Source organism: Homo sapiens, chromosome 9 (genome assembly GCF_000001405.40).
Source record: "Homo sapiens chromosome 9, GRCh38.p14 Primary Assembly".
Lineage (NCBI taxonomy): Eukaryota > Metazoa > Chordata > Mammalia > Primates > Hominidae > Homo > Homo sapiens.
Genome location: NC_000009.12, coordinates 133,053,284 through 133,079,622, shown reverse-complemented (window position 1 = coordinate 133,079,622; position 26,339 = coordinate 133,053,284). Strand labels below are relative to the sequence as shown.

At 54.2% G+C, this 26,339-nt stretch overlaps 3 protein-coding genes across 9 annotated transcripts in view, besides 2 other annotated features; 1 reads left to right on the top strand and 2 right to left on the bottom strand.

Moving 5' to 3' along the window:
* CEL (carboxyl ester lipase) lies at nt 7,762–17,642 on the bottom strand. Its single transcript, NM_001807.6, has 11 exons — nt 17,555–17,642; nt 15,069–15,219; nt 14,861–14,983; nt 14,386–14,583; nt 12,963–13,093; nt 12,678–12,785; nt 12,418–12,535; nt 10,765–10,951; nt 10,364–10,567; nt 8,965–9,162; nt 7,762–8,636 (listed from the first exon to the last, which is right to left on the bottom strand). The coding sequence occupies exons 1-11, from the start codon at nt 17,618–17,620 to the stop codon at nt 7,859–7,861; spliced, it is 2,262 nt and encodes a 753-aa protein (NP_001798.3). The 5' UTR covers nt 17,621–17,642; the 3' UTR covers nt 7,762–7,858.
* Nucleotides 17,927–18,679: an enhancer, noted in NCBI's record as "H3K27ac-H3K4me1 hESC enhancer chr9:135936331-135937083 (GRCh37/hg19 assembly coordinates)". NCBI's record gives its function as "activates a minimal SCP1, AML or CMV promoter by ChIP-STARR-seq in naive H9 embryonic stem cells {active_cell/tissue: H9 hESC(naive)}" and the evidence as "EXISTENCE:reporter gene assay evidence [ECO:0000049][PMID:30033119]".
* On the top strand, nt 18,291–21,542 carry LOC124902325 (uncharacterized). Its single transcript, XM_047424377.1, has 2 exons — nt 18,291–18,874; nt 21,449–21,542. Exons 1-2 carry the CDS (start codon nt 18,291–18,293, stop codon nt 21,540–21,542), a joined length of 678 nt encoding a protein of 225 aa, XP_047280333.1.
* Nucleotides 18,680–19,431: an enhancer, noted in NCBI's record as "H3K27ac-H3K4me1 hESC enhancer chr9:135935579-135936330 (GRCh37/hg19 assembly coordinates)". NCBI's record gives its function as "activates a minimal SCP1, AML or CMV promoter by ChIP-STARR-seq in naive H9 embryonic stem cells {active_cell/tissue: H9 hESC(naive)}" and the evidence as "EXISTENCE:reporter gene assay evidence [ECO:0000049][PMID:30033119]".
* Nucleotides 21,120–26,339, bottom strand: part of GTF3C5 (general transcription factor IIIC subunit 5) — a 27,796-nt gene continuing 22,576 nt past the window's right edge. For 3 of the 7 annotated variants that reach the window (XM_017015316.2, NM_012087.4, NM_001286709.2), the window contains 6 exons: nt 25,681–25,795; nt 25,135–25,215; nt 24,814–24,911; nt 23,529–23,611; nt 22,715–22,857; nt 21,120–21,809 (listed from right to left, as the gene is read on the bottom strand). In XM_017015316.2, coding sequence (XP_016870805.1) covers nt 21,643–21,809; nt 22,715–22,857; nt 23,529–23,611; nt 24,814–24,911; nt 25,135–25,215; nt 25,681–25,795 — 687 coding nt within the window. In that variant the 3' untranslated portion in view covers nt 21,120–21,642. The other 4 variants (XM_017015315.2, NM_001122823.2, XM_047424081.1 and 1 more) reach the window with 2 other exon arrangements.

Here is a 26,339-nt window from a genome sequence, read left to right as displayed (position 1 = left end):
TCGCTGATGGCTGAGCTATTATATGAAGTTACAAAAAGAGGAGAAAAGGAACCCCTCCTCTGGGAAACAGAACAGGAGAAGGAGCCATGCCTTGTGAAAACTTCCTTATAGACTTAAACGAAATGCCCCGTGCCAGAAGCTATCGGTATATTCTAGTGTTTATTTGCATCTTTTTCAGGATAGGTTGAAGCTTTCCCCACCAGGACAGAAAAAGCACGACAAATGACTAAAGTACTGTTAAAAGATATTATCCCCAGGTTTGGACTGCCTCTATCTTTACAGTCAGACAATGGGCCGGCATTTGTAGCTGAAATAGTACGAGATTTAACAAGACTGTTAAAAATAAAATGGAAGTTACACACAGCCTATTGGCTGCATAGTTGAGGAAAAGTGGAACGCATGAAGTGGACACTCAAGCAGCTACTGAAGAAATATTGCCAGGAAGCTCATCTGAGATAAGTTCAGGTTTTGCCTATGGTCCTCCTCCGAGACAGGTGCACCCCCACCAAACAAACTGAGTATTTACCCTATGAGGTTTTGTTCAGTTGGCCAACCCCAAATCATAGGTCAAATTAAAGGTGATCTCCAGGAACTAGAGGAATTAACCTTAAGAAAGCAAATGCAGGCTTTAGGAATAGCCATGCAAGAGGTCCATGGCTGGGTACAAGAAAGGATGCCTGTAAGCCTGATAGACCAGTGTGCCCCTTTAAATCTGGAGACTCTGTTTGGGTTAAAAAGTGGAATCCAACTTCTCTAGGACCCATATGGGGTGGGCCCTGTACTGTCATCTTGTCCACTCCCGTTGCTGTTAAAGTTGCAGGTGTTATGTCTTGGATCCACCACAGTCGGCTGAAACCGGCAGCTCAGGACGAGTGGACCAGCCAGCAGGACACAGATCATCCAACCCAGCTGATCCTGAGAAGACAACAAGCTGCTGCTGAGGACGATCACCCTGCTCTGGTCACTCGTGAGGCTGACCAGTCAACGCACGGCTGAAGCTTAAGGAGACAAGCCCCGCTCTAGTCACACACCCGAAGCTGACTAGTCTACGCACGGCCGAAGCTTGAGGACTCGTCAAGCAAGTAAATGTGGTTAGAAATCTTAGGACTAGTAGTCTTCCTTATAATACTAACTGTTTTACTATTGTTCCGTTGCTGTGCTCAATCTCCTCCCCCAGGCAAGGCCCTCTTCTGTCCTTGCTGGATATGAATACGCTGTACATTGTTTTGCTGTTATCACCCCCCTTGACCATGTTAAAATAAGTACCCTTAGAAAGTGTCCCCATTGTACACACACTACAGGGTCAGGAAACAGTATAACTAGGACTCTATTATTCTATACTTATTAGGAGTGTACAGGGACTCACCTAGGAACTTGTACTTACAATCGGATCACCTATTCAATTTGTGACCCAGGAAATGGCCAGCCTTATATATGCTATGACCTTCTAAGTCTTTACCTAGGACTTGGTTTGAGGTTCATACTGAGTCAAAGAAAGGAAGTCTTATAAATCAAAGCCAAGCCTCTACCCCCCAGGGGGGGCTATAGCCATATACTTTGATATTTGTCAGTTAACATCCGTGAACCCAACCTATCTCACAATCTCTGGTCCTACAGGGTACTGTACAAACTGCCAGTACAAAATTGTATGTGCATACCCTGTTTGCCCCTCCAAGGCCCTAGCAATAGCTTGCTGGAACCGCACAACACAGTTCACTGACCGATCATCACTGAGGCTAAAGCCAATCTTGCTCATCAAAGCGCCAGCAAAACCGGACTGTAAGACAAGCACTTGCAATCCTGTAAATCTTACTATCTTAGAGCCGGATCTACCTATATGGACTACAGGTTACTCCATGGCATTACAAAGCAGCAGTCAAAAAGCTAAAGTAAATTTATATATCATAAAGAGGACTCAAACCAAGAAGTCATCCCAGCAGCAATTCCGAGTCTTTAAGTCATTCTATGAGCACATAAATCAAAAGTTGCCGAGCCTCCCCCTTTAGCCAAAAACCTATTTGCTCAGATGGCTGAAAACATTGCTGGCAGCCTAGGCATCTCCTCATGTTATGTTTGTGGAGGGACAAACATGGGAGACCAATGGCCTTGGGAAGCAAAAGAGTTAATGCCTCAAAATAACTTTACTCTGACTGACCCTTCCTGCAAACTGACTCCCACAAGTTCAAGCGTCTGGCTCTTAAAAACTTCTATTATCGGGAAATACTGTATTGCTTGCTAGGGAAAAACTTCTACAGACCCAGTAGGGGAATTAACATGTTTGGAACAGAAACATGTTAAAAAATTAGGAAAAACTTTATGGCGCGGCAAAGATAGTCCCAAACCACCTCATCCAAATCCATTCTCCCGTTTCTCTGCTCTAAACCACACCTGGTATCAGCTTGAAGCTCCAAATACCTGGCAAGCACCCTCTGGTCTCTATCGGATCTGTGGGCCACGGGCCTACCGACAGCTACCAGCCAAATGGACAGGGGCCTGTGTACTTGGAACAATTAGGCCGTCTTTCTTCTTAATCCCTCTAAGACAAGGAGAAGCCTTAGAGTATCCTGTCTATGATGAGAAGAGAGAAAGATATAGAAGGAGCGTAAAGAAAGACACAGCCATAGGGGACTGGAAAGATGATGAATGGCCCCCTGAGAGAATAATTCACTACTATGGGCCAGCTACCTGGTGGGGGACGATGGCTCATGGGGTTACTGGTCTCCTATTTACATGCTTAACTGCATCATGAGGTTATAGATAGTGCTTGAGATCATCACTAATTAAACAGCAAGGGCTTTAGATCTATTAGCCCAGCAATCTACAAAAATGAGGAATGCTATCTATCAAAATAGATTAGCTTTAGACTGCCTCCTCGCCCAGGAAGGAGGAGGATGTGGAAAGTTCAATCGAACTAATTGCTGCCTGGAAATTGATGACAATGGAAAGGCAATTATAGGAATAACTGCAAGAATGAGAAAATTCGCCCATGTTCCAGTTCAAACTTGGAAAGGGTGGTCTCCAGATTCTCTCTTTGGAGACTGGTTTTCATTTTTCAGAGGGTTCAAGACTTTAATAGCAGTAGTTCTGGCTGTACTAGGAAGTTGCCTAATACTCCTTTGTCTCTTACCTCTCCTTGCTAGAAGCATTCAATCAGCTATAGAGGCAATAGTAGCTAGGCAAACTACCACTCAGCTGACGGCTCTGCATAAATATCAACCTTTGCCCAAAGAAGAAAACTTGTCTCTTGACGCAGAATTAAGTAATAGTGAGGCCTTCTATTAAACTTCTTTTATAAAAGGACTTGAAGTGGGGAAAAATGTAGTGAGGGTTAAAAAGAAAAAGAAACAAGTTTTCCTCTGCTTAGCAGCTCACTTCGAGGACAGTTATAAGATAACGCTGTCCAAAAAGCCAAGGCCAAAGGAATGAGCTCCAGACAGCCCCCCACCTCCAGAGCAAGGCTGAGGAAAAAAAGAGAGAAAGACAAATTCCTTTACTGTTACTCCTTTCCCTGGCCTCTTAAGCATGACTATGTCTTGCAAATATTTGTATTTAGCCAGTTCTTGTTTTTCTTTTGACACAGCTACAAGGCCACCAGCTAGGCAAGACCACAAGTTATACACTCTATGATTGACTGCCTTTGTTTTTCTTTTGTAAGCCTGCTTATAAAAACCCCACTCTGTCTTTGTTCAAGGCTCACCTTTTTGGATGTGAATCCACTGAGCTGGTGCATACCTTAAAATAAATATCCTCCTGTATTCACCTGTACTGGTCTCTCTAGTCCTCTGCGTCCCGCAACATTAGACCTGAAAAAGATTCCATTGTCTGGATGTATTGTATCCATTCACCTGCTGAAGGACTTCTTGGTTACCTCCAGGTTGTGGCAATGATGGATAAAGCTACTATAAACATCTGCTATGTTGACCAAAAAACCCAAACTGTAAAATATTTGACGAGATTTATCCTGAGCCAAATATGATTGACTGTAACCAGAGGCATGGTGTCAAGAGTTCCTGAGAACATGTGCCCCAGGCAGTTGAGTTACAGCTTGGTTTTATACATTTCAGGGGGACATAAGACATAAATCAGTAATGTGAGAGGGTTTGGGATGGCTTAAAAATCACAGGTGAATTCAAAGATTTTCTAATTAGCAATTGGTTGAAAGAGTTATTATCAAAAACCCTGGAATCAATACAAAGGAGGATCTTGGTTAAGTTAAAAAGTTGTGAAGACCAAGGTTCTCTTTCTTTCTTTCTTTTCTTTTCTTTCTCTCTTTCTCTTTCTTTTTTTTTTTTTTTTTTTTGAGACAGAGTTTCACTCTTGTTGCTCAGGCTGGAGTGCAATGGCATGATCTCTGCTCACTGCAATCTCCACCTCCCAGGTTCAAGCAATTCTCCTACCTCCACCCTCTGAATAGCTGGGATTACAGGCATGCGCCACCACGCCCAGCTAAATTTTTGTATTTTTAGTAGAGTTTGGGTTTCTCCATGTTCGTCAGGCTGGTCTCAAACTCCCGACCTCAGGTGATCTGCCCACCTCGGCCTCCCAAAGTGCTGGGATTGCAGGCATGAGCCACCGTGCCTGGTCCAAGATTTTTGTTATGTAGATGAAATCTCATAGATGGCTTCCCTTAGAGACAATAGATGGCAAATGTTTCCTCTCAGACCTCTAAAGGGTGCTGGACTCTTCAGAAATGACCTGGTAAGGGAAGGAGATTCTCTACAGAATGCAAATTTCCTCCACAAGAGACAGCTGTGCAGGGCCATTCCAAAATACGTCAAAGAAATACATTTTGGGGTAAAATATTTCAATTTGTTTCATGACCTGCTATCTGTCATGTGATGCTATACTTCAGTCAGGTTGGAATTTTATATCTTATTTCTACAGAGTCTGTTCTGTCAGTCTTAAGATCTCTGTTTTAAAGCTGGTCAGCTGTGCCTGAATTCCAAAGGGAAGAGAGTATGATGAGGCATGTCCGACCCCTACTGCCCATCATGGCCTGAACCTTCAGGTCCCTTTGGGTTTCCCTGGCCAAGAGGGCGTTCCATTCAGTCAGCTGCCGGGCTTGGAGTTTTATCTTTGGTTTACAGCTATAAACATCTGTTTGCAGGTTGAGTAAATCTTAAGGAATCAGAGTGCTGGATCACATGGAAGAAATAGGCATTATGTTTTGGGAAACTGCCAAACTGTCTTCCAAAGTGGCTGTACCGTTTGTTATTCCCAACAGCACTGAATGAGAGTTCTGGTTGCTCCACGTCCTCATCAGCATTTGGTGTTTGGCCAATTTTCTGGATTTTGGCCATTCTTACAGGTATGCAGTGGTAGCTCACTGTTTAAATTTGCGTTTTCCTGACAACATATGATGTGGATATCTTTTTGAAAAAAATACAGATGGGGTCTTACTCTGCTGTCCAGGCTGGTCTTGAATTAACTAGCCTCAAGAGATCCTCCTGCCTTGGCCGCCGCATGTGATGGGATTCCAGGTGTGAGCCACTGCACCCAACCTAGGTTAACTTTTCAGATGCTTATTTGCCACCTGTATAGCTTCTCTGGTGAGGTGTCTGCCTTTGACCCATTGTGGAATCAGGTTTTTTTTTTATTTATTGAGTGTTAAAAGCTCTTTGTATATTTTTGGATAACAGTGCTTTATCGGATGTCTTTTGCTAATGTTTTCCCAGTCTGTGGCTTGTCTTTGTTTTCCTAACAGTGTCTTTGCAGAGCAGAAATTTTTAATTTTAATGAAGTCCAGGTTACATCACACAAGGCAGAATTGCAAATCCAACACAGGTCCCAACCAATGCTGCCGCTCCCCAGCTGTGTGGCCTGGGCCCGTGCCTGCCTCTCTGAATTTCACATTTCCCATCAATACCTTCACTCAGCAAAACTATGGATGAGAAGTTCATGGCACAATAAATATCAGGGTCTACAGTTACTGTTTACAGGTTGCTCTAAAAGGAACACTTAAACTTTGTTTTCAGGCAGAGAAACATCCGCTTAAAAGTCCTAGGTAGGGGCTGAGCACAGTGGCTCATGCCTGTAATCCCAGCACATTGGGAGGCTGAGGCGGGCAGATCACCTGAGGTCAAGAGTTCAAGATCAGCCTGGCCAAAATGGTGAAACTCTGTCTCTACTAAAAGTCAAAAAAAATCAGCCGAACGTAGTGGCGCACGCCTGTAGGCCCAGCTACTCAGGAACCTGAGGCAGGAGAATAGCTTGAACCCAGGAGGCAGAGGTTGCAGTGAGCTAAGATCATGCCATTGCACCCTAGCCTGGGTGATAAGAGCGAAACTCAGTCTCAAAGGAAAAAACAAGAAGTCTTTGGTCAGTGTCTACATCTGCATGATTAAAAAAACCCCAAACTTCTAACTGTGTATCGGTAGATGGCTTAATCTACCAATTAAGTAACCACAGAGTTACTTAAGGGACCTAGAGGCACAATTGTTTATTCTGTGGGATAATTTAAGGAGAATGAGCAAAACGATCTTAAATGATCCTTAGTAGTCTTAATATTTTATCATATATTACTTTATATAATTTATAATTTATTTAAATTCATGTACTTTAAATGTAACTCATATGATTTATTGCAATATCTTATATTTCTTTTTTTTTTTTTGAGACGGAGTCTCGCTCTGTCGCCCAGCCTGGAGTGCAGTGGCGTGATCTCAGCTCACTGCAAGCTCTGCCTCCCAGGTTCCCACCATTCTCCTGCCTCAGCCTCCCGAGTAGCTGGGACTACAGGTGCCCGCCACCGTGCCTGGCTAACTTTTTTTGTATTTTTTTAGTAGAGACGGGGTTTCATCGTGTTAGCCAGGATGGTCTCGATCTCCTGACCTCGTGATCCGCCTGCCTTGGCCTCCCAAAGCGCTGGGATTACAGGCGTGAGCCACTGCACCCGGCCTATATCTTATATTTCAAAACTAGCATATGTATGTTATAGGAAAAAGAACATAAACAATTATGTTGGTGCTGTCGAACCCAGACTTTCAGCATAGGCGGAGAAAGAAACAAGTGTAAAATGAGAGAAGTAAAACCTGACAGTCTTACAACTGGGAAATACCTGTATGAATTCATACTTTTATTATTATTTGAGATGGTGCCTTGCTCTGTTGCCCAGGCTCAAGTGCAGTGGTGCGATCTCGGCTCACTGCAGCCTCTACCTCCCGAGCTCAAGTGATTCTCCTGCCTCAGCTGGGACCTCAGGTGCGCACTACCACACCTGGCTAATTTTTTGTATTTTTAGTACAGATGGGGTTTCACCATGTTGGCCAGGCTAGTCTCCAACTCCTGACCTCAAGTGATCCTCCTGCCTCAGCCTCCCAAAGTGCTGGGACTACAGGTGTGAGCCACTGTGCCCGGCCTCATACTTTTTTTTTTTTTTACTGGTTAAAAAAAAATACTTATTTCCTGGCTCTGTCTCTTCCAAAGCCCTAGCAGTAACGAAATCCCAGGAGCAAGCACCACCCCTGGTGACCAGATTGGGGTCTCTAAACACCATATTCACACCGACGAAGGAGTGCACCCTGCGGAGATGGTTGGGCCGGGTCCATGGCAGGAAATGCCAGGGAGGGGCTGGAGCCTGCACCATCATGGTGGCTGCAAGTAAGGAAGGTGCCCAAGACCCAAGGGTTGAGTCAAAGGACTACAGAGGTCAACCTGAGGCCGCCTCTGGCCAAAGATAAGATGAGCTGGGCATGAAAAAGCAAGCCTGCAATTGCCAGGCAGATCCTGCAGCTTAGCCTTGGGAGCAAAGAAAGACACCGACAGGGGTATGAGGCTTTATTCAGGAAGAGCTCAAGATGGGAGGGGAGCCCCTGGGGTCCCACTCTTGTGGCCTCTTGATACCAAGGCTCATGGGACGCTAAAACCTAATGACTGCAGGCATCTGAGCTTCCTTGGAGTCATCTGTGGGGGGCACAGGGGCAGCCTCAGAGTCACCCGTGGGGGGCACAGGGGGGGCCCCGGAGTCACCCGTGGGCGGCACGGGGGCGGTCTCGGAGTCACCCGTGGGGGTCACGGGGGGGGCCCCGGAGTCACCCGTGGGCGGCACGGGGGGGGCGCCGGAGTCACCCGTGGGCGGCACGGGGGGGGGCCCGGCGTCACCCGTGGGCGGCACGGGGGGGGCGCCGGAGTCACCCGTGGGCGGCACGGGGGGGGCCCCGGAGTCACCCGTGGGCGGCACGGGGGGGGCCCCGGAGTCACCCGTGGGCGGCACGGGGGGGGCCCCGGAGTCACCCGTGGGCGGCACGGGGGGGGCCCCGGAGTCACCCGTGGGCGGCACGGGGGGGGCCCCGGAGTCACCCGTGGGCGGCACGGGGGGGGCCCCGGAGTCACCCGTGGGCGGCACGGGGGGGGCCCCGGAGTCACCCGTGGGCGGCACGGGGGCGGTCTCGGAGTCACCCGTGGGGGGCACGGGAGTGGCCTCGGAGTCCCCTGTGGGGGGCACAGGGGTGGCCTCCTGGTCGGTCACTGTGGGCAGCGCCAGATAGGTGAGGGTCCAGTAGCGCAGGAAGTTGGTTCTCAGGCTCCGCTTCATGGAGCTGCTGCCCATCTTCTTGGTGATCTCCAGGTAGCCGCTGTTTTCCGTAGTGTAGGGTTCCCAGTGTGTGGGCACAGCCGAGTCGCCCATGTTGGGGTCCCTGCAGAGTGAGAAGAGGCTGTGCAGGGGCTGGGGACTCCCAGGGGGCTGAAGCCCTGCTCTCCACCTGCACGCCTGAGCCATCCCCGCCCTCTGAGCTGGCCCTGGGCACCATGCCCCTCACTGCATACTGGGCACTGGCTGTGCACGTGCATGGGCTTGGGGCTCTGCCAGTAACTCTCATCCTCAAACACACATGGATTCCGATGCAGGGGGAGGTTAAGTGACTTGCCCAAAGTCCCTCCACTGGCAAATGAGGGAACAAGGCCTCGTGGTGGGAGGCCCTTCTCGGCTGTGGCCCTCCGCCCTGCACTCAACCCACGTCTTACCCTGTTTTGGCAAAGTTGGTCCAGTAGGCGATCATGGCCTTAGAGACTGTCCTGTCTTGGGGCCGGTAGCCCGTGGGGGTGGCGAAGGGCTTCCCGAAAACGTACTGAATGTCATCTGCATGGTCGGCCCCCACCCATTTGGGGTAGACGGGCATCCGAGAGGGATGGGAAAACAGGTAGGCGTAGGTCTTGGCACTCCTGGAGGGGAGAGACCACCCAAGTAGGCAGGGTGCTCACTGGGGACCGATCAGCCCAGAGACCGGACTTGGAGGGAGGTCCCGGGCAGTGGGCAGGGAAGTGTCTGGGGAATTCACATGAAGAGATGGGGCTTCTTACACCCAGGGAAGGGAAAGCTGAGAACCAAATTCATGGATTCATGGGTTCCACAATTTCAGCTGAATTTATACTTCACCTCCACAAAACATTGTGAGGCACCTTCCTTCTAGAATTCAGTATCAAGAAATATTTTGCTCTCCAAGTGAATGTGCATTCTTCAATTAGATTGGACAAGGTATAGGCCCTCAACTGTTTCCCTTTTTGCCTTGACTGAAAGGAGGCTCACAGCTAAATGTACTGCTTAGTTGCTGCAAAGCTTTCATCCTAGACTTCTAGGTATACTTTTATCTTCCTATCTTTTTCGTATTCCTAACTTATTTTTTATTTTTATTATTTATTTACTTATTTATTCGAGACACAGTCTCACTCTGTTGCCCCTGCTGGAGTGCAGTGGCGTAATCTCGGCTCACTGCAACCTCCACCTCCCTGGGTCAATCAATTCTGCTACCTCAGCCTCCTGAGTAGCTAGGATTATAGGCATGCACCACCATGCCTGGATAATTTTTGTATTTTTAGTAGAGATGGGGTTTTGCCATGTTGGCCAGACTAGTCTCAGACTCCTGACCTCAAGTGATCCTCCCACCTTGACCTCCCAATGTGCTGGGATTACAGGCATGAGCTACTGTGTCTGGCCTTATTTTTTATTATAATTGGCTATTATTACATGAAGATTTTTAATGTGGTGGTGGGCTGAAATTATGGGCAAAGTTGAGGCCCATAAGAGTCAGTGGATAGAAACTATTGTCCAGTGTTCTCTCAGTGCACACAGCATGGGGGATGGAAGGTAGCTCAAGAACTCTCCAGTGGGAAGGACCATGGGGTGCAGGGCTGAGCAGGGCAGAGGATCATAGGGTTTGTAAAGCCCTGTAGGCTGGGAGGTAAAAAGAGGCCCTCAAGTCTTGCCAGGCCTCAGCAAAGTGGATCAGGCAGGCACAGGTGGGGACTCAAGCACCACTTTCCCAGACAACCCAGACACCTGAGAGCCACCCACAGCGAGGCCTCGGCTGGAAGGTGCAGCACCCCAGGAAGGCCCCCAGGAGCCACCCGCTGCCCAGATCCTCACTTGGCATTGGCTCTGTGCTGGGCTAGGGCAATCTCGGTGGGCACCAGGAAGAGGACATCGGTCTCAAAGTCCACCACAGTCTTCTTCTTATTCTCCTGGGATGGGTCCTGGGCCCAGGACTCGGTGTAGACATCAAAGGTCGTCTTGGCGCCTCTGAGCCCCTTGGTGATTGTGAACTCACTGACCAGCTTGTAGAAGTCCTCCCTGGGGGAATCAAGTAGGCACTGACACTCAGCCTGTGCCAACAGGAAGGTGTGTGCATACTCACCCCGACCGGTGCTAACTTCCTCACTCCCAGTCCTCCACTCAATGCCTTCCTCCTCCAGGCTGGCCCCCTCGCCAGTGCTTTCCCGGCGGCCCTCCCGCACGGGTCGCCCCTGAGTCCTGTGCCCCCTGCTTACTCCGTGACTTTCTTGTTGCCCTTGTTGATGGCAGGCATGTCGATGCTGGCGAAGATGTGGCCGTCCATGTTGTTGGTGCCTGCTATATAGTCGATGTCGGCGGCGTTGGCGTACAGGTTGATCGGGTCAGCGGGGATGAAGTCTCCATCAATGACAGGGACGAAGCCCACATAGTGCAGCATGGGGTCTGGGTGGGAGAGCCAGCAGGTTAGCAGGTTCTTGTACCTCCCAGTTTCCCCTGAGCCGCCCCTTGCCTCTCAGGGCTGGAATTGGCTATGTCCTCCCTTCTCTGATCTATGGACACTTGGGGCAGGGTTGATTCTGCACCATCAGGGGCATCCTGTGCCCTGTAGGATGTTTAGAGCATCCCCGGCCTCGACCCACGAGGTGCCAGGAGCACCCCCTCCCCAGCTGTGACAATCACAGATGTCTCCAGGCCCTGCCACACGTCCCCAGGCTGAGAGTCACTGTCTAGGGCCAGATCTGTCCTCTTCAGCGGCAGCCCCTCCCTCTCCTCTCTCTCTTTGCTGGGCCTGAAGCAGGAAGGAGGAAACTTAGAAGCCACTGAGGGAACTGATGGAGAAGGAGCTCCCTCTCTCAGGGCTGGGTTCCAGTCCATCAGCCAAAAATGGTGGGAGGTCTGCATTGTACTCCAGACCCCTGGACGGGCCCCTAGAGGACCCAGTGGCTGCTGAGGCAGGCGGGGCCTGGCTGTCACTGGGCCCAGCACAGCAGGTTTTGCTTCTAGCGGGGCCGTGGGGGTTGCTTTGTTTGGGCTTGTCCAGCCCGTGCAGTTGAGCTCATGTCAGGTAAACGTGCAGATGACTTGGCTTCATGGCATGTTGCCATAGAAGAATGAGTGAGGGACAGCCTTAGCGTAGCAAGCTGGTAAGGCTGACATGCAGAGGTGTTTGTGGAATGGGTCCCCAGGCCTTCCCGGGGTACAGAATAGTGGAGCTGGAGGCTGGGCCCCAGTGCTACGGTTCAGTAAATGTTTGCTGAATGAATGAACGAATGAATGAACGGTCATCTAGCACAAAGGCTCTTGGTCTGAGGTCTATGAGTCTCCCTAAAATTATATGCAAATGACTGCATATGAATGCATGAGGTGGGGGAGGGGGCCCCAAATGTTCATCAGCTTCTCAAAGGGGAGTCTGTAACTCATGGGAGATAAGAATAAAGAAGGGGCCGGGCACAGTGGCTCACGCCTGTAATTCCAGCACTTTGGGAGGCCGAGGTGGGCAGATCATGAGGTCCCAAGACCGAGATCATCCTAGCTAACACGATGAAACTCCATCCCTACTAAACACACAGAAAAATTATCTGGGCATGGTGGCATGTGCCTGTAGTCCCAGCTACATGGGAGGTTGAGTCAGAGAATCACTTGAACCCAGGAGGTGGAGGTTGCAGTGAGCTGAGATCGTGACACTGCACTCCAGCCTGGGCAACAGTGAGACTCCATCTCAAAAAAAAAGAAGAAACGGCACCCCCTCTCCCTTACAGCTGGGGCCTTCGAGGGGAGACACCAGCTAGTTGGTGACAGGACAAGACCGCAGCTCTGGCACCTTCCTCTCTCCTCCGGAGTACTCCCTGGCAGTACCCCCCTCAACCCCCACCTCGAGACCCCATGGGCCAACCCGAGCAGCTACTCACACTCCAGGCCTGCCAGCGGCACCTTATAGGCCAGCGTCAGGGCTCGGGGATCAGTAACCTTCAGACACTGGGCCATCCTGGCGGCATCACCCACAGGGCAACCCACCTTCTCAGCCACCTGGGGGCAGAACCAAGGCCAGCAGGTAGGTGAGGCCGGAGCTCAGGGCTCAGAACCATTTGAAGGCAAGGATGGGGTCCAGGATAAAGAACGGAAATGTGGACAGCCCCCACCCCGCCCAGCCCTGCCCTCCTCCGTTTACCTTTTTGGCCCAGAAGAGTGGGTTTTTCTGGATGACCCAGGGACTCAGGGCCACGCCGCTCTGGCTGATGGCTCGCCGGATGAGGCCCTTGTTGTAGGGGGAGAGGGTCTACGGGACCCAGAAATCCCGTCACCAAGGCCGCTCCCCACTCTGCCCACCCCACGCTGGGACAAGGACACCCCAGCACCACAGCCCCAGCTCCACGCTCCTCCTCCCACCCTCCCCTTCCCGTTTGAGCTTCCTCTCAACCTGTGGGGCAGGCCCTCCCCACAGGGATCCCGAGACCTGCAGAGAGACGCTGGCACCTCCAGCAGACTCCCCGAAGAGCGTGATGTTGTTGGGGTCCCCCCCGAAGGCCGCGATATTCCTCTTCACCCAAGCAATGGCCATGTGCTGATCCCGAAGGCCATAGTTACCTGGGGGCAGGGCAGGGGAGGGGGTGCTAGAGACCAGTGGCCCAGGCCTGGCCTCCAGGAGGGGAGATCAGCATAGGTGGGGTGGAAATGCCCTCAACAGAGTTGGGGCCATGGCAGAGCCCCAGTTGGCAAATGGTGGGTCCCTAAGAAGCTGGGTCGGGTAGGGTGCTGGAGGGGGTGGGTCCCCAGGAGACTAGGTCACGTTGGTTGCTGGAGTGGGTGGGTCCCCAGGAGGCTGAGTCGGGTGCGGTGCTGTATGGGGTGGGTCCCCAGGAGGTTGGGTTGGTGTGGTGCTGGAGGGGGTGGTGTTTGTCGGGGGCAGGATGGTCAGGCCCATGCACCTCTCCTGCCCCTGCCCCAGTCCCTCCTGTCTGTGTCCTGCCACTTCTGTGTCCACAGCTGTCTCTGCCTCAAGGTATTGTTCTCTGTCTCTCACTCAGCTCTGCTCTCCTGGTTTCTCTCTGAGCCTCAGCCTGTCTGCCTGTCTGTCTGTCCCACAGCCTCTTATTTTTGAGATGGGGCCTCACTCTGTCGCCCAGGCTGGAGTGCAGTGGCACGACCACGGCTCACTGCAGCTTTGAACCCCTGGGCTCAAGCGATCCTTCCACCTCTGCCTCCCAGGTAGCTGAGGACAGAGGCATGAGATACCACGCCTGGCTATTTTTTTTTTTTTTTTTTTTTTTGAGACAGAGTTTTACTCTTGTTCTCCAGGCTGGAGTGCAGTGGCATGATCTCGGCTCACCGCAACCTCCGCCTCCTGAGTTCAAGCGATTCTCCTGCCTCAGCCTCCCGAGTAGCTGGGATTACAGGCAAGCGCCACCACGCCTGGCTAATTTTGTATTTTTAGTAGAGAAGAGGTTTCTCCATTTTAGTCAGGCTGGTCTCAAACTCCTGACCTCAGGTGATCTACCCACCTTGGGCTCCCAACGTGCTGGGATTACAGGGGTGAGCCGCCGCGCCCAGTCCCCAGCTAATTTTTAATTTTTGTGTAGAGATGGGGGTCTCCCAGTGATTTTCAGGCTGGTCTTGAACTTCTGCGCTCAAGTGACCCACCTGTGTGGGCCTCCTAAAGTGCTGGGATTACAGGCGTGAGCCATCTCTCCCGGCCTCTGCAGCATCTTTTATTTTACTACAGCTACCAAGGGCCTCCTGCATCTCATGATTCTACTCCAGCTTCCGGGTCTTTCTGTGAACCGCCACTGGTTGTTTGGGGTGAGGGGTGCTGAGGAAAATCTCCCTGCTGGGCTCAGCATGCTGGTCGCCCCACCTCAGGGCCGAAGGCACCCACGCACCTGGCAGATTGGCGTCCCCAGTGCTGAGGAACCCAAGGGGGCCGACACGGTAGTTGAAGGTGACCACGATGACGTTTCCGCGTGTGGCGATCTCCTCGCCGTCATACAGGTAGTTGTTGAGGAAGTTGGCCCCATGGCCGGACCCCATGAGGAAGGCGCCTCCATAGATCCAGATCATAACGGGCAGGTCCCGGGAGACTGAGATGGGGGAGCGGCTGGTGACCCCAGACGCCCCGCCTGGCCCTGTCTCCAGCCGGTCCCCTGTCCCTGTGCAGCAGGTGCCTGGGGCCAAGACAGGGAGGTGCTCCAAGGCGCTGCCCTGCCCCAGGCTGGGCAACGGCAGTGGGCGCTCCCCTCCCCGCCTCTGTGGGATTTCATGGAAGTTCAGCTTTGCAGCCCCCAGACTCAAGCCAGGAGTAGACCCGGGGCAGTGGCTGCATGGGAGGGTCCCTTGGGGAGTAGAGGGGAGGCAGACCTTGCTTCCTGCCCTGGGGCACCCAAATGTTGAGGTACAGGCAGTCTTCATCCCCGTAGGTGCTGTCCTGGGTGATGGTGGCCTGCAGGCATCTCTTCTTGAAGTTCTTGGCCTTCAGGGTCCCTGCAGGTGGCAGGAGTTGGCATGAGGAAGGCAGCCGCCCTCACCCGCCCCGCCGCAGGGCCAGTCCGGCACCACCCACTCCCACCTTGCCAGCCAGGATGTGGCTGAGGATTTTCCAGGGCCTTGGTGGGAGCTGCGAAGGGGATGCCCTTGAAGATGTCCACAGAGTCACCCAGGAGGCCGAGCTTCTTATTGACGCCTTCCACGAACCCACCTTCTGTGTACACGGCGCCCAGCTGCGAGGGAGACACGGGCAGGGTCAGGGGGGCTCAAGCCCCATCGGCCTGAATCCGGAGGGGGCAAGGCAAGCCGACTCCGCGTGCCCAGAGGCAAAGACAGCTTCAAAGCAGGACAGCTCTGCACAGGAGACCCAGGCAGCACCCCCTGCCCTGCAATGCTCAGGGCTTTAGGATTCCTGTTCCTCTCCTTATCCCTGGGGGTGTCCTGCTCCCAGAATCTTAGAGGAAACTGGTTCAACCAGTGTTCCCACTAGGGAAGCCGGCCAAGAGGTGGGATGGAGGTTTGGGTTCTGGCTATGGCCGCCCAGCTTTGACTCCGATCCTCAGTTTCCCCATGTGGAAGACGAGCAACAGCCGTGTCTCCTGTCGGCCTGTTTGCCATCACATGGGAGGCCTGTCCAGCTCCCGGGAGGAGTGTACCCAATGCTCAGTGTACCCGGGATGTTTCACACCAACCTTCCTCCTTTCTGAGGGGTGGGGCCTGCTTTTCCCTCCTCCCATCTCCCTGCACAGGGCCTAGCTGGCTGGGCACAAAGTCGATGGCCCCATGCCCAAGTCCCCACAGTTCCTGAGCCCCCTGCTGGTAAAGAACCCCCTAGGGACCACACCTCCCACCCCCGCCACGCTTCCCTGTGCCATGAAAATGGCCTCTGTGCACCAAGCTGTCCACCCCCACGAGGGGCCTGGAGGTTGGTGCTCATCCACCCTCTGTCCCTGACGGAACTGAGGCTGGGCAGCTTTTGGGCTTGAAGTCACCCTGTTGAGAAGCAGCTGTCTGCCCCAGTGCCACCTCCTGTCCATCTTGGGCAGCAGCTCCCTCTTCCCGTGGTGCATGGTGGGACCAGGTCATTGCTTGCTGGCTGTCACCTGTGCCAGGTTCCAGGTGGGGAAGGGCAGGGTGGCCCTACACCCCCAGGCCCAGCCAGGGTCCCAGCAGCCCTCTGAAGTCTAGGGTGATGGGCCCCCTGTCACACTGGTGTGGGAGAGTGCGGCGGTTGGAACTGGAGGAAAGGAACCAGAAGCAACACATGCAGGCATCGTGGGCATCCCCTGCGAGGCATCTGTGTCTCCTTGTGCCAGTGGCGTGATCCCTGTGCAATTGAGACTGGCCAGAGGGCCTCAGGGTGGGGAAATGGGGAGGGGTCGTGATGACCTGCCGAAGGCCTCTCAGCACCCCAAGAAGAGCTCGCCCAAGAAGAAGGTGACCTCTCCTTTGAGTCAGGAGCCCAGGACCACTGCCCAAACCTCCCGGTCCCAGGGCCAGGGAGTGTGGAGAGCAGGCAGCAGAGGTGGAGACAGGAGTCCCCAGGGCCTGAGACACCGCAGGCGGCAGAACAGCGTGGTTGGGATCTGGGGTCCCCTGTGTGACTCCTGCTGGGGGCAGGGACTGGGCCGGGCACCGACACCGGCTTCCTGTGGGGCTTGGGGTTTCTGTGGCTTCTCCTTCACAGGCAGAGAGGGTAGAATTTATGGATGCCTCGAGAGAGCTCCTGCCTGCCGGCTCTCTTTCTGGAGGGACCCGGACCCGGGTGTGGAGTAGCTCGGCTTTCAGCTTCCTGCACAGGAATAGGAGGCAGCAGCTGTGCCATGCTGGGCAAACTGCCTGCCTGCTTCTCTCCACCCGTCTGCCTGCTCTCCACACTCCCTGCCCCTGGGCCCGTTTCCCCTTCTGTAAAATGGGAACAACAGAGAGGTGGAATCACCAGGATTAGCAAATGTAAATTCAAGAGGCCCAGTTACATTTGAATTTCAGGTAAACAGTGAATTGTTTTTTAGTATGTTTCATTTTTTTCTTTTTCTATTTTTTGAGACAGAGTCTCGCCCTGTCACCCAGGCTGGAGTGCAGTAGCGTGATCTCAGCTCACCGCAATCTCCACCTCCCAGCTTCAAGCGGTTCTCCTGCCTCAGCCTCCCGAGTAGCTGGGATTACAGGCACCCACCACCACGCCCGATTAATATTTGTATTTTTAGTAGAGACGGGGTTTCACCATGTTGGCCAGGCTGGTCTCCAACTCCTGACCTCAAGTGATCCACCCACCTCGGCCTCCCAAACTGGTGGGATTGCAGGTGTGAGCCACTGCGCCCGGCCCATAGAAATTTGTTTCAAATATTGCATGGGACATACTTACACAGCAGTTCTTGGCAGTTTATCTGAAATTCAAATGGAATTGGGCATCCTGTGTTCTACCTGGCACCTGTCCCCATAGAAATGAGCGTGAGTGCCCGGGATCTGCTGCGGGGCTGTGCTGGGCTCTTTCTCAGCCTGGCCCGAAGTTTCCAGATCTGATTGAGCGAGAGAGCAGCAGGACCTGCCCCTCTGCTGGGCTCTTACCTTCGCGGCACTCGCCACTGCCCAGCAGCAGGTGAGGCCCAACACAACCAGTTGCAGGCGCCCCATGGTGAGCATCAGCCTCTGGGTGGCCCTCCCCCTGGGCCTCGGGTATTTATGGAGCTGGATCCAAGGTCACATGCTTGTTCATGAGCTCTCAGGCACTCCCTCCCCTCTACCCCCTCAGGTGCAGGGAGATCCAGTTTTCCCCAAACCCACAGTGCACCTGTGCAGGTTACCACTTACCTGGGAGCAGAGGCAGGTGGCAAGGTGGCGGGTGGTAAGGGGGATGGTGGGGCCGGGCAGGGTGCACAGTGCCCTGCCTTCTGGTTTGTTCACAGGGCTTGGTGTCACTGTCAGAGAAAAGGGCATACTTTGTCTCCATGTCTCCATGCCCTGCTTGTCCCCTAGGTCCCCAAAGGGGCTTCAGAGGGGACCGAGCACGTGACTTCTGGGACAGAAAGGGCAGCATGCTGCAGGCCCTCCACTCATGTGGCTGACCTTATCTGTACGAGCTTTTCCTGGGGCCCGTGGAGCGGGTAGTCCAAGCTGGGTGCGAATCCCAGAGCAGCACAAGGCAGTCCCACTCAAGGGTGTGGAAGTGTCACCATCCAGCCTGATGTGTCCTGGGAGGGAGGACTAGAGGCTCAGGGGGTGTGGGTGGGGGGGTGCGGAGGCATCTAGCCCAACCATGTAGGTTTCCCTGTGGAAACAAAGGGCCCAGCCGAGGCCCTGGGGCATGCCCAGGCAGAGTGACAGAAGGGGAGGGAAAGAGGCCAGTGGGAGGGAAGGGAGAAGGTCGTGTGAGGTTGTGGAGGAGGAGGCGACTCGTATTTTCTGTGAACAGGTATTAATCCTGGAGCCAGGAAAGGCTCTGAGAAGTGAAAGAACACCACGAACAAAGTCTTCAGATGGGGCCTTTAAGCTCAGCCAGTGTGAGGTCACCCTCACCGAGACACTCAGTGGCAGCTCCAGCCACCGCACAGCCCTCTGCAGTGATGGGAACAGGGTGAGGGCAGCCAGAGCCTTCCCACCCAACAGTCCCCCAGGAGACACTGGGGCCTGTGCTTCCCACACCAACCACACTCCCGTTCTGCCACCCCTGCGGCCGGTGCCAGGGACCGAGTGGACCTGCAGAGCCACGTCTGTCCCTCTGTCTGTCGACCACAGCCGGTGCCAGCAATTCAGGAGGCCTAGTGGGCGAGGGAGGCTGGGGAAAGGACTGGAGGGTGGGAGGAGGAGCTCGGCCACAGGAAATAAGGGGCCTGCAGGTGGCTGGGGCGCCCCAGGGCAAAGGCATTTGCCTCAGACCTTTGCTGCAGTGTCATTTACAGTGGCTAAGGAGGAAAGGGGAGGGCAGAGGGGAGGCAGCAGGGAGAGGAAGGAGGTGGGGGAGGGCTGGGGCAGGGCAGAGGGAAAGGAAGGCCCCAGTTTATATCTATGTACATTTTTAGAGCAGCTTTAGGTTCACAGCAAAATTAGAGGAAGATTACAGAGATTTCCCGTATGTCCTCGCCCCACTCCAGTCTCCCCCGTTATCAACATCCCCCACCAGGGGGTACAGCTGTTAACACCTGATGAATCCACATTGACATGTCATTATCACCCGGAGTCCACAGAGGTTTTTTGTTTGTTTGTTTTTTTGAGACAGGGTCTCTGTCACCCAGGCTAGAGTGCAGTGGCACAATCATAGCTCACTGCAGTCTTGAACTCCTGGGTTCGAGGGATCCTCCTGCTTTAGCCTCTGAAGTAGCTGGGATTACAGGCGTGCGCCATCACACCCAGCCGATTTTTGTATTTTTAGTAGAGACTGGGTTTCACCATGTTGGCCAGGCTGGTCTCAAACTCCTGAGCTCAAGTGATCTGCCCGCCTCAGCCTCCCAAAGTGCTGGGATTACAGGCATGAGCCACCGTGCCCAGCCTCATACTTTATTTTTTTAAAATTGGCAAAAAAAAAAAAAAAAAACTTATTTCCTGGCTCTGTCTCTTCCAAAGCCCTAGCAGTAACGAAATCCCAGGAGCAAGCCCCACCCCTGGTGACCAGACTGGGGTCTCTAAACACCATATTCACACCGACTGAGTGCACCCTGGGGAGATGGTTGGGCCGGGTCCGCAACAGGAAATGCCAGGGAGGGGCTGGAGCCTGCAGCATCGTGGTAGCTGTAAGTAAGGAAGGTGCCCAAGACCCAAGGCTTGTGTCAAAGGACTACAGAGGTCAACCTGAGGCCGCCTCTGGGCAAAGATAGACAAGTTGGGCATGAAAAAGCAAGCCTGCAATTGACAGACGTGAGAGTTCACCAGGCAGCCCAGGAAACACGCTCTCCACCCCCTCCTGCCCTGTCACTGGCCCTTGCCAGGGCACTAACTCATTGTTCTGAAAACTGTTAGAGGTGATAACAGGCATTTTCCCTTCTTTTCTGTGAAAATAGTATTTCAGGGTAATCAAACAGACGATGAGGAAGATTCCTTTATAGGATTCCAGCTACTAAATGCAGAGGGAACGATATAATTCAAAAAAATCACCATTTTGCACCCTTAAGGAAGTAGTAGGTCCAGGCAATTATCAACGGCTATTCAAAAGCCATTAAATAGGCTGGACGCAGTGGCTCACACCTGTAATCCCAGTACTTTGGAAGGCTGAGGCGGGAGGATCCCTTGAGCCCAGCCTGGACAACATTAGTGAGACCTCATCTCTACAAAAATTCAAAAATTATCTGGGCATGGCGGTACACAACCTGTAGTTCCAGCTACTCAGGAGGCTGAGGTGGAAGGATCACCCGAGCCCAGGAGGTTGAGGCTGCAGTGAGCCCTGATTGCATCACTGCACTCCAACCTGGGTGACAAAGCAAGACCATCTCAAAAAAAAAAAAAAGACCCACAAATGAAACAAAAAACCACAGAAACCCAAAAACCGTTAGATAAAAGACCAACACATCAGGCTGACAACACCTAAACCTGCTGGTCAATCCTAGTAAGCAGACCTCCCGTGCATGCAGACTGACGCAGCCTAGGAAGAGACCTTGAACCCGAATCTGGCTGAGCCTCCACCTGTCCCCAGGAAATACAGGGGAGAGAGGAGCAGGTTCAGCACCACACAGAAGCAACCAGCCAATCCAGAACAGGGCCATTCTCTGACAACTGACTGTTTCTTCAACAAATACTCGGCACGCACACAGGTTGGGAGGGAGTGCTGCTGCCGACTTGGGGAGACACAAGAGGTGCCTCAGCCAAGGGCAACATGGGGAGCGGGGCCAGGCAGGCAGGCTCGGTGGGCTCAGGACCCACTAGTTTCACACTGGGCAGCCACAGGACAGCAGGGCCCGTTTCCCATGACTTTGTCAAGAAGGTATTCATTTAGAGAAGAACTGACCCCAGGCCTGGAGTCCTCCTAGCTGCCCTCACCCAACCCGACCACATGTGAGGGGGGCACAGGCCAGCACTGCCAGCATGTCACTGAATGAATGAAGGAATGAATGAAGGAATATATGAAGGGACAAAGGGGGCCCAAGCCCCAAGGCAATAAGAAGACTCCCCTGCAGCGCCAACATTCACACCAAGAAACCAAGACTTCTCGGGAAACTGGTTTAATAAGGACAATTCCAGAGGGGCCTGGCTGTGGCCAAAGCTGTGCCAAACGGTTGGGATCCAGAGCTAAAGGCACTTCTTGCCACGTGAGACCATGGGCGAGGCTCCCCACGCTATCTCCACCACCACAGTCATGAGAGCCAAGCGAGACTGGCCTGTGGCCTGGGGCTCCACAGCTGCCCAGCTCCACCTCCGGCATTTACTGGTCTCATCCTGAGAGGCATTGGGTGCCCACTCACTGGCTGGATGCTGGGCTGGTTCATGGGTGGCAGAGCCAGGGTATACCCTTTGGGGATGTCCCTAACCCCTCAGGACCAGAGGCAGCACCAAGCAGCATGTCACAGCCAGTGCTAGGGTCAGCTGCACCCTTTGCTGGGACTCTAGCTCTCCTCAGAGGGCCTCCTAGGGCCATTCCGGGCACTGTGGGTGGCAATGGGGAGCCCCGGCTCCCTCATTAGGCCAGACACCAGTCTGGCCGGGTCAGGGAGGCCCAGCCTTGGGCCCTGTCACACGTAGTCCAGAATCTCTGTCTCCATTTCGTTTTCACTGCCGTCGGATGGCTTGAAGTCCTCCTCCTCCTCTTCCTCCTCCTCCTCATCCTCCTCGTCTTCCCCAGACTCGTACGTCAGCTGCTCTTTTCCGCCATCAGCCTTGGCTGAGCTGGAAAAGAGAGCTGGGGCCGGAGGAGACAAGGCCATGGGTGTCCCATGCAGGCTGCCGGGTGGCCCCAGAAAGGCCACCAGGCTCTGGGGAGCCTGTTTACTACTATAAGGGTCCGAGCTCGAGCTCTTAAGAAGCTGGTGGGTAAGTATGGGGTGGAGGCCCCCCAGGGAAGCTGTAGTTTGACGGGCACCCAGGGGAATCCTGCAGCAGGGGAGCCATGAGCAGCTTCAAGGGCCCATGGACCCTCAGGAGTGAACACACCATTTTCTCTGGGAAAGGGTCCACACCCTTGATTAGATTCCCAAAGGGGGCTGAATCTGGGTTCCAAGCAAGACCAAGAACCCCTGCTTCGGTCAGATCTGTGGGGCGTGGCTGGGTCCAGGATGCCTCCTCCCCAAGCCTGGGAGGAGTTCCCTGAGAGAGGGGGCCTCTTATAACTCCCCCGAGCCTCGTGAGACCCACAGCCTGGCAGGTGTTGCCCCCTTCACTTTCCCTGCAGCTGGCCCTCACTCCTGCCAGGGCTGCCTGGTTCCAGGAAGGGGCTGGGCCACACAGAACAGGAAGAAGACAGAGGCAGAGCCTGCGCATGCACAGCTGAAAGACATGGGCTGGTGTGAGGGCGTCAGGTGGAGGCCCCGATGGCAGTGCCAGGCTGCTGCACCCAGCCCCTCTGGGCTTGTCTCCTGCCCCGGACCGCAGGGCTGAGGGCCTCGGCTGAGGCAGCCTCTGGGCAGCTGGGGTGATGCCAGCACCTGGGCTGGGCTCTGGCTCACAATGTCCTCCTCCCACCAGGGCCAGGGGCAAGATGATGCCACCTGGGTGCCATTTCCCAGGAATGGGTCCCCTTAGGGACACCTCTGTCTCAAAGGAGATCACCAGGCATCCTGGACCCCCTTTACCCCAAGCGGCTCTTACCAGGCCTCTTGGAGCGGATGGTCTGCCGGATCATGAGGGACATGGTGTCCCTGAGCTCGTCGCTGGTCTTGGGGAGGCACCACCCATCCCGTTCTGTGCAGGAATTCTCTGCCCCGTCATTGCGGTGAATGATCTTCTGCAACCTGGGGGTGGGGAGAGGGTTGGGACATAAAGTCCCAGGGCGGGTCTCTGCTAAGAGATGCCAGTGTTGGTTTTTGCCAGAGGCAGAGCTGTACTGAGATCAAAGGCAGCCCCGTGAGCGAAGTCTACAGAGAGGAACTGGAAACACAAGCTGTGTGTTCCCAGCTGGGGCCCTAAACCTGTGTGCTCCCTGGACCGCCTCACACACATGAAGCTGGCCGTGTTACCACTGCACATGCTTCTGGTGAACCATGGCTTTCAGCAGAGTTCAAGATGTATTTGATGTGTTCCCATCTCCTCTCATCCCAGTGAGTGCCCTTTCCCTGCAATTCTTTAAACATCACTGAGAACAAGTCGATAAAAGGTTTCTGGGATCTGATGGGTCCTGGGATTGAGAACCACCTCATGGGGCCTTTATGTGGACAGTGGAAGAGGAGCAAGGACATAACAGTAAGAACTGTCTCTGCGCAGCTTGGAGCCACGGCTTTCTATAGGGCACCGCCTCTACGAGGGCCACCAGCATGCCAGGGCTCTCGGCAGCACCAAACTCCCAGACAGGCGAGTGCTCTTGCCGGAGATGAAGGCCGACGTGAAGTGGAAGAGTTCAGAGACCGCTTTGGTCCCTGGGTCCCACGGGCCCCCCTCAGTGTCTCAGGGCCCCTCCCATACGTACTCTTCCACATTCAAGTCGCATAACTGGTAGAACATCTGCCGATAGGGTGGCAAGGCCCCTTCCCGGAAGATGTAGACAGAGTCCTGGTGACAAAGGGGGAGAGAGACAGGGAAGGTGAGCCAGAGCCCTGGGGCTGCCAGTGTTGCAGACTCCATGTAGGCTCCCATGGGGTCTCTCCAGGGAGCTGGCTGGTCACCAGGAGCAGGTTGGGCAGACAGGCTGGAAGGCCACGGAGGAGTTGGGGAAAAAACAATGTCCAACTCCCCAGGAGGCTCTGGGAGAGGCAGAGGAGCACCCAGGCCCTCCTGGGGCCACTGGAAACGGTGAGCCCGCCCGTGCAGCAGGCCATGGCGCCCATGGCATGGGGCTGGCACTAGCCTTGTGCCGGGCTCTGCTCTCTGTGCCCTCCTGCACTCTGACCTTATCCCTCACCCACTGCTGCTAATTTGTCACCCTATGTCCCCCTATGGGCTGCCCTGACATCTTTTCTGGGAAAAGCAGGGCTTAGTGAGTGTTTGCTCTCTCCTTTCCGTACCCAGCCATGTAGTTCTAGAGTAAGGATAACGGCCTCCTAGGAGAGGCCTCGAGAAGGAAGGCCGCACAGGCTGTGGCATGATCGCCCCTCACTGGGAAGGCAGCAAAGGTCTAAAAAACCTAGAAAATAGGCAGGGCCCCAGACACTGGGGGACAGCAAGTCCCTCGCATCACCCGTCTCTGCTGCACTCATCTCTGCCACCCACTCCCTCAGCAGGTGATTCCACCGTGCGGGATGCCCCCTTCTCGGCCTCCCCCAGGGCTGTGGAGCGGCTTGCGGGAGCCTGAATGTGGGAACAGCTCTGGAAACCGCCAACCCCCGCTGGGCAACCGCACTGACGGAAACGTGAGCCAGTGAGGCTCCTGCCACAGCTGCAGCCCACATGGCCTGCTCTGGCTCTGTCCTCCTGTGTGTGCCCAATTCCGATCATTCCCGGAGTGGTCACGTGGCTCAGTGGGGGCCCAGGCTCCCAAAGGGCTCGAGAAGGACAACCACATGCAGCTGCTGGTGCCAGACTTCCCTGAGACTTGTCACCACCTCTTCGCCAGATGTCCCCAACACACACAGCCCTGGGGCTTTGCACCCGAGTTCTCACCCTCAGTGTCTGAAGGCTGACCTAAAAGGAAGCAAGGTGCCGAGGCCCCGGTGGGCAGAGCTGCCCTAATCACAGCCCCCCAGGTGTCACCCACAAGGTGCCCGGCCCCAAGAGGGAAGTCCTCCCCTCCATTCCTGGCCTCCAGGGGCGCCCACCTTGAGCTTGTACTTGCTGGAAGCTGGTTTCCGAGCACCACTCGTCCCCGACGGGCCCAGGCCCTGCTTCAGGTCATGCATGGTGACAAGCTGGCTGGCTGCGTGGGGACAACAGCAGTGCTTGGAATGTGCAGGGTGGGGAGGAGGTGTCTCTCCCAACCACCATGCCCTGCCCTCCTGCCAGCCCACCCCCTCCTAGGGGAGGAATGACCGGCAGAGCCCTGGAGTGACCCCCAGGAACCACCTCCCCGTCTGGGTCCAGGTGCCCCGCCTTCCTTGGCAAATCACTCATGACCCACAAAAGGCGCCTGGCACGCTTACATGTCTTCTTGACGGTGATGGGGAGGCTGTAGTTGTAGGTGCTGCGCTTTGCTTTGACCGGCAAGTCACTGGGGGCGTAACCTGTAGGCGAGGGCGGGCAAGTCAGGTGGGCGGGCACAGGGCCCGTCGGCACACAACACTGGCTTCACACTGGAGATGGGAGTTGGGTCCATGGGGCCAGCTCCTGAGAGGGCAACCCCAGACTGCCAAGCACGCCACTGCGGTCACCAACACATCTCAGCACTTCCCAGGCAGGGCGGGCACTGATGCTCTCACAAGTGCCTGGCCTGCATCACAGGACCATAGGGCACGTGGAGTCACTTAATGAGGGACTGTGGTTCAGAAACGGGCGGTCAGTGGTGGGGCCAGCACAGAACTAGGACTTTCGTTTCCACGCCATTCTGCATTCAAAAGAGTCTCAGCAACGGGGGCAAAAGGTTTTTTTATTCTTTCCAAATGAAAAGATTCTTACTACAAAAGAGAATGCTAGAAACTGAAAGATAAAGAGAGAGAAAGGCAGGAAGCAAAGCTTTCAGGAATTTTTACCGTGTTTCATTCCACAACGGATTCGGAAATCGAGGACTTGATAAATCTTGGCATCTGGGTTTTTTCGGGGGTCATACCCAAATCGAATCCATAGGCTGCGCCAGGGGCCTGTTATCTGGGACAGAAAAGTGGGGAAAATGTGAGGTGAGGTGAAGGCCCAGGTCCCTGGACGGGCCAGAGCCTACAGTGAGGCAGCAGAAGAGCTCAGGAGCTGGGGACAGGGCTCTGGATGCCCAGCCCTGCTCTGCCACATGCAGGCCCTGTCACCTTGGTGAGGGCACGTGGCCTTTCCAAACCTTGGTCTTCCTGTCAGATGGAGGGAAAAGGAGCACCCTTTCCTGTGGGTTTTTGTTTTTTGGGGGAGAGGGTCTCACTCTGTTGCCCAGGCTGAGTGCAGTGGCAAAATCACGGTTCACTGCAGCCTCAACCTCCTGGGCTCAAGTGATCCTCCTACCTCAGCCTCCCAAGTAGCTGGAACTACAGGCACGAGCCACCACACCCAGCTAATTTTTAATTTTTTTGTAGAGATGGGGTCTCATTATGTTGCCTAGGCTCGTCTCAAACTCCTGGATGCAAGCGATTCTCCCGCTTCAGCCTCCCGAAGTACCGGGATTCTAGGAGTGAGCCATCATGCCTGGCCTCCCATGGTTTTTCAGAGG